At 41.7% G+C, this 7,801-nt stretch overlaps 1 pseudogene; it reads left to right on the top strand.

The window, feature by feature from the left end:
- LOC100418993 (proline rich 21 pseudogene) lies at positions 376–1,141 on the top strand (annotated as a pseudogene).

The raw sequence follows: 7,801 nt of genomic DNA on the forward strand, positions 1-7,801 counted from the left end.
TCACTGTCACCCACTCAATCACTGCAGTAGAAACCTGTGCACTGTCAGTCACTCAGTCACCAGAGTGGGAATTTTTTCACTGTCGCTTACCCTTTCACCACAGTGGGAACCTGTTCTCTGTCAGCCACTAATTTATCACAGTGGGAACCTGTTCACTGTCACCAACACATTCATCACTGTGAGAACGTGTTCACTGTCACCCACTTATTCATTACAGTAGAACCCTGTTCAGTCTCACCCACTCACTCATCACAGTGCAAACCTGTTTACTGTCAGCCACTCATTCATTACAGGAGAAACCTGATGACTGTCATCCACAGGTTCACCATCTTAGAATTTTTTTCACTGTCACCCACTCATTCACCACAGTGGGAACTTTTTCACTTTGGCCGCTCATGCATCACAGTGGGAACCAGTTCACTGTCACCCACTCGTTCACCGCTATAGAAACCTGTTCACTGTCAGCCACCCTGTCACCACAGTGGGAACCTGTTTACTGTCAGCCCCTCACTCATCACAGTGGGAAACTGTTCATTTTCACCCACTCATACACCACAGTCAGAACCTGTTCACTCGCACCCACTCACTCATCACAGAGGGAACCTTTTCACAATCAGCCACTCATTCATCACAGTGGGAACCTATTCACTGTCAGGCATTCATTCACCACAGTAGGAACCTGTTCAATTTTAGCCACTCATTCACCACAGTGGGAACCTGTTCACTGTCACCCACACAATCATCATATTGGGAACCTGTTCATTGCCTCCCACTCATTTATTACAGGATTAACCTGTTCACTGTCACACACTCATTCATCACAGTGGAATCTGTTCACTGTCTCCCACTCATTAATCACAGGGGGAACATGTTCACTGTCTGACACCCCTTCACCACAGTGGGAACCTGTTCACTGTCAGCCACTCACTCACCTCAGTGGAACCTGTTCACTCTCACCCACTCATTCACCACAGTGGGAACCTGTTCATTCTCACCCACTCATTCACCACAGTGGGAACCTGTTCACTGTCAGTCACTCACTCATCACAGTGGGAACCTGTTCACTCTCACCCACTCACTCAACACAGTGGGAACCTGTTCACTCTCACCCACTCATTCACCACAGTGGGAACCTGTTCACTGTCACTCACACAGACATCACAGTGGGAACCTGTTCACTGTCACCCACTCATTCATTACAGAAGGAACCTATTCACTGTAACCCACTCCTTCATCACAGTGTGAACCTGTTCAGCCATTGCTCCTGGCCAGAAAAGCTTTTAATCATCTACTGACTGGGAACAGGAAAACCTTTTATAATCTAGAACAAAGAGAATGAGTCTGCTTGCCACTTACACTGCATCAAGATTTTGGGATCTTAAACCTTGGGTTCATAATCTTTAAACTCACAAAGGGCCCTCTAAACTCTTGCAATCATACTGGAGATCTTAATTGGAGACTTTTAGGTAAATCTAAGCAGAGAAGCTTCTCCTCAAAAGCAGATGGCAACCTTGACATTGATAGCTTTCTCCAGAAGATCAAAAACAAAGACATCTCTTCTATCATGACACTCCTAGTTCACTTTTTTAATGGCTCTACAAACAACAGAAATAAAAAAGGGATCTCTTGTGTGCACTTTTGGGGTATACTTATATATGTAAATAATTTCACAACTAACCTTATATATCAACAAACTTATGTCTGGATAGGTAAAAGATGAAGGGCCACTATAGGTGAGAAATAAGAAATGTCTCGCATTCTTGCTAAATGTGACATGGGAAATTTGTTGTCTCATAATATAAGAAACAGAATATTTATCCACTGCTCTTGGAGCAATATTGACTTAAAGAGAAACTTATGCAGAATAAGTTAGAGCACATTGCCAGGAGGCCATTACTCTTCTGAGTGGTCATTATTCGTTAGGTCTTTCTTTCAAAGGCTTAGAGTAAATGAGGCTATGGTTGGAAATTTATCTTCCATAATAGGCTCAATAGCAGATTCTACTGTAAAGGCTATGGTTACCCAATAGACTTTAAAATTTTTTACTAAAGTTGTGCTAAATAAAAGAATTTATCTAGTTTACTTACTGGATAAACAGAGAAGTATCTGTGCAGTTGCTAGTATTTGTAGTTGCACATGGAGAAATACATCGAGTATTACAGAGATTCAGTTGTAGGGGATTAATGAACACACTGCTTGGTTGAAATGAGGAGACCACTTATCTAGCTAATCATTTGATCTATTTAATCATAGTTGGTTGGTTCAATGGGGACCTCGGTTAAAAAGCATACTTCAGGCTGAGCATGGTGGCTCATGCCTGTAATCCTAGCACTTTGGGAGGCCAAGGCAGGTGGATCACTTGAGGTCAGGAGTTTGAAACCAATCTGGCCAACATGTTGAAACCCCGTCTCTACTAAAAATACAAAAATTAGCCAGCTGTGGTGACACAAGTCTATAATCCCAGCTACTTGGGAGGCTGAGGCAGGAGAATCCCTTGAATCCCAGAGGCAGAGGTTGCAGTGAGCCAAGATCACATCATTGCACTCCAGCCTGGGTGACAAGAGCAAGACTTCGTCTCAAAATAAATAAATAAATAAATAAATAAATAAATAAATAAATAAATAAATAAATCCATACTTCAAACTCTTGATATTATTTTCCTGATAGTCAAAATAATAGTCACCCTACTGCACTCTATTCTCTCAAAAATTATAAATCTTTGCATGCAGTCATCTCTAGAATGCCAAGTGATCTCTCTTTAACTGGAATGATGAAAACTTGAAGATGTATTTGACCATGAGAACACCATAACCTATGAATGATCTGATAAGAACGGAAACCTAAAATAATGAAAACTGAGAGTGACATTAAAACTCTGAGGTTTGGTTACACTCCGATCTATGTGAAAACTTAATCAAAAGGGGGGAATCTTTTTAAACAAAATTATTGGAGGCCATCATCCTGGACTGAGCTTGTTCACTGGGCCCAAACAGACCAAAATGAACCAATTAGTCATTCATGCTAAATGTGACATAGTTAAACTGAAAATTTAAAGAAATAGGTAGATTCTAAAACTGACCAGGTCTTGTTTTTCTTTTGCAAACAGCAGATATCAATACAAGGAGGTCCCATCCACTGTAATCCTTTTAAACAATAATAACCTGAAGTCCCTTTTTTCACTTTACAAAACCCACAGTTCTACTATTTTACAGTGGAAATTGAGACTAAATACATCTTTTTTCTTTTCTTTTCTTTCCTTTTTTTGAGACGGAGTCTCACTCTGTCACCCAGGCTGGAGTGCAGTGGCATGATCTCGGCTCACTGCAACCTCTGCCTCTCAGGTTCAAGCAATTCTCCTGCCTCAGCCTCCCGAGTAGCTGGGACTATGGGTGCCCGCCACCACGATGGGCTAATTTTCATATTTTTAGTAGAGATGGGGTTTCACCATATTGGCCAGGCTGGTCTTGAACTCCTGACATTGTGATCCGCCTGCCTTGGACTCCCAAAGTGCTGGGGTTACAGGCATGAGCCACCATGCCCGTCCATAAGTAAATTTTTGATGGTGACAAAGTAATATCGATGTCTAAAGTTTGGGGTTATTTCTCAAAATTGAGAAGCTAACCAAATGAGAAATATTGTTAAATTAATTATAGCCTAAAGTTAACCCCTTTTATGTTTAATTTCGGTCAATAGGTTTTTCTGTACATAGTTAACTAAAACCTAACTGGATATCTAAATAGATTGTTACCTATTCATGTACCAACCACTATGTTTGTGCCAATAAAAGAACATCAACTGTTCAAGCCATATTCAAATAAGGCAAATCCCAAACTGTAATTAATCTGGTTATTTCTGTACCACTTCTATTTTCTGTATGTCACTTTGCTTTTCCTGTGCATAAATCTTTTTTACCATGTGGCTGTGCTGGATTCTCTCTGAGGCTACTCAGGTCCCACAGACTACTTAATTTGCAAATTATTATTTGCTTAATTAAACTATGTTAAATTTAATTTCTCTGAAGTTATTTTTCTTTTAAAAGTTTTCAAATGTTTTCTTTCATATATATATACAAGTATATATACATGTATATATATGTGTATATATATATATTTTTTTGTGTGTGTGTGTGTGTGACAGTGTCTCACTCTGTTGCCCAGGCTGGAGTGCAGTGGCGCGATCTCGGCTCACTGCAATGTCCGCCTCCCGAGTTCAAGTGATTCTCATGCCTCAGCCTCCTGAGTAGCTGGGATTACAGGAGCGAGCCACCATGCTTGGCTAATTTTGTATTTTCAGTAGAGACGGGGTTTTACCATGTTGGTCAGGCTGGTCTCGAACTCCCAACATCACGTGATCTGCCCGCCTCAGCCTCCCAAAGTGCTGGAATTACAGGTGTGAGCCACCACGCCCGGCCTCAAATTTGTTCTATGATAAAAAATAAGTGATGTGTTGTAGGGCTTTGATTATCTAAAATAAGTTATGTTTTCCAAATTACTCTATATCAGCTATGTCAGCTATTTTTTCCAAATTATTCTATGTTCTTTCAAAATGCTTTTGCAATTTCTTTTTTGTTTTTTCATTTTGTTTGAAATAGAGTCTCACTCTATCAACCAGGCTGGAGTGTAGTCGTGTAATCAATCATGGCTTAATCCAGCTTCCACCTTCCGGTCTTAAACAATCCTCCTGCCCTAGACACCTGAGTATCATCATGCCTGGTTAATTTTTTAAATTTCTTTTATTGAGCCAGGATCTTATTATGTTGCCCAGGCTGCACTTGAACTCCTGAGCTTAAATGATTCTCCCATCTCAGCCTCCCAAGCCTCCCAAAGTATTGGAATTAAGGATTTAAGGCCACCATGTGCTTCAGTAATTTCTCGAGATTATTTCCAATAATAAATAGTACTTTATGGGCACAAATCTACAAGCAATCTGGTTTTTATTTTAGAAGTGTCACTCTCCAGGGTTTTAAGAGTCTAGGGCAGCTACTTGAGTAGTGTGATCCATGGAGGTACATAGGCTTTGAAGTCAGACAGAGTTGATCCTGAGTCCCGGCCCAGCCACTTAGAAGCTGTGAGTGTTTGGACAATTTCTTGATGTGGAAGAGTTCTACAGACTACATATGCAGAAAAAGCAGAATGGACTGGGCATGGTGGCTCACGCCTGTAACCCCAGCACTTTGGGAAGCTGAATTGGGTGAATCACGACGTCAGGAGATCAAGACCATCCCGGCCAACATGGAGAAACCCCATCTCTACTAAAAATACAAAAATTAGCTGGGTGTGTTGGTGTGGGCCTGTAATACCAGCTACATGGGAGGCTGAGGCACAAGAATCACTTGAACACAGGAGGCAGAGGTTGCAGTGAGCCAATATCACACCACTGCACTCCAGCCTGGTGACAGAATGAGACTCCATCTCAAAAAAAAAAAAAAAAAAAAAAAAGCAGAAGGATACTGATTGCAAATATGGTAGCAATTTTTCATCCCTCCTGTATCCATGTACATTGACAGGTGCTTTTACAGCCATTCCCATGAAGAGTCAGAATCTATTTTCCAAACGCTTGATCTGGCTGGCCTTATTTGCTCATGGCAGTAGAAACCTGAGAACATGACAATGTGTTGGTTTGGAGCCTAGGCTCAAACAGTTTTGACTGCTTCTGCTTTTCTTTTCTTTCCTTTTCTTTTCTCTGTTTTTTTCTTTTTTTGAGAAGGAGTCTTTCTCTGTCATCCAGGCTGGAGTGCAGTGGCATGATCTTGGCTCACTGCAACCTCCACCTCCCAGATTCAGGCAATTCTCCTGACTCAGCCTTCTGAGTAGCTAGGACTACAGGTATATGCTACCACACCCAGCTAATTTTTGTATTTTTAGTAGAGGTGAGGTCTCGCCATGTTGGCCAGACTCGTTTCAAACTTCTGACCTAATGTGATCCACCTGTCTTGGCCTACTAAAGTTCTGGAATTACAGGCATGAGCCAGCATGTCCGGCCTGCTTCTGTTTTTCTTTCAGAATGCTGCCATATTCATGAAAAAAAGCCCATATTAGGCCAGGCACGGTGGCTGGTGCCTGTAATCGCAGCACTTTGGGAGGCCAAGATGGACAGATCAAGAGGTCAGGAGATCGAGAACATCCTGGCTAACACAGTGAAACCCCGTCTCTACTCAAAATACAAAAAAATTAACCGGGTGTGGTGGTGGGCACCTGTAGTCCCAGCTACTCAGGGGGCTGAGGCATGAGAATCACTTGAACCTAGGAGGTGGAGCTTGCAGTGAGCAGAGATCGCACCACTGCACTCCAGCCTGGGCGACAGAACGAGACTCCGTCTCAAAAAAAGAAAAGAAAAAAGCCCATATTAGCCAACTGGAGTATAAGATACTATGAAGAGGAGAAGTAAGGTATCCCTGTTGACAGTCCCAGAAGCAGAAGCTCACCTCTACAAGCACAGCTGCTGCTTTCCTAGTCAATGAGCAGCTCATGATACATGTCTGAAGGAGCTCAGCTGAGAACAGAAGAATGGCCCCACTGAGCCCAGCCTAAATGGCTGAGCATTTCAATTATGAGCAAATCAGTTTTGGATGGTTCATTATGCTGCCATAGTTAACTAATATGTGCACCCAGTGCAGATAGAATGCCAAGATTTAATAACAGGTTGATTACTAGTTACCTTCTAACATTGGGCACCATAAAAGTACTGATATTTTTCCCGATTTAAAGTTAGATGTCTTGTAAGATAATGTTGAGAAATGCAGAAATATGGCCAGGGGTGGTGGCTTATGCCTATAATCCCAGCACTTTAGGAGGCCAAGGCGGTTGGATCACCTAAGGTCAGGAGTTCAAGACCAGCCTGACCAACATGGAGAAATCCCGTCTCTACTAAAAGTACAAAAAATTAGCCGGGCGTGGTAGTGCATGCCTGTAATCCCAGCTACTCGGGAGGCTGAGGTAGGAGAATTGCTTGAACCCAGGAGGCAGAGGTTGCAGTGAGCCAAGACCACACCATTGCGCTTTAGCCTGGGCAACAAGAGTGAAACTCCATCTCAAAAAAAAGAAATGCCGAAATACATGTGGACATGTATGCATGTGATTGTGCTTATATTCACTCAGTTTCCCACACCACAGAAGAAAACAGGTAACCACAGCCTGAACATTAGAGTCGAGGTCAAATAGCAAAATAAGTTTGCCTTTAATCTATTTTCTTCCTATGTAAACATTAAAGGTCAAGACTGTGAACAGATCTGAAGACATAGTTTTTTTTCTCCTGTGGCCCATCATCCTTTGCTCACTGTCTGATCTCTGAAAGAAAGATGGGCAACAGGTGGTAAGCAGTGGTTTACCTGTGATTTATTCCTGCTGCCATCAGCTTTTTCTATAGCCACTATTTGTTTCACCCTCGGAACTGAAAAGAGACGTTGATAAATAGAGGCTGTCCCCTCACCTGTGGCAGAAAAGGGGTGTTCAGGCCCTCCACCCCCACTGACATCACAGCTGTACTTCAATGTGGCAGCTATTGGCCATGTGTGGCTCCTGGGTGCCTGGAATGTGGCTGGTCTGAACTGCGATGTGCTAGAAAGGTAAAATACAGAATTAGTTTCAAAGATTTTGTTTCAAATGTATTTATATTTCATTAATAATTACATATTGCTCACATATTAAAATGAAAATATTTTGAATATATTGGGTTAAATAAATTGCTACAATCAATTCCACTTGTTTCTTCTTTCTTTTTAAAGTTTGGCTACTAGAAAATTTAAAATTCACCTGTGACTCACATTTTATTTCAGAGGATTGCCTGTTCAAAGGACCAGAAT

This window comes from Homo sapiens, chromosome 19, assembly GCF_000001405.40.
Source record: "Homo sapiens chromosome 19, GRCh38.p14 Primary Assembly".
Lineage (NCBI taxonomy): Eukaryota > Metazoa > Chordata > Mammalia > Primates > Hominidae > Homo > Homo sapiens.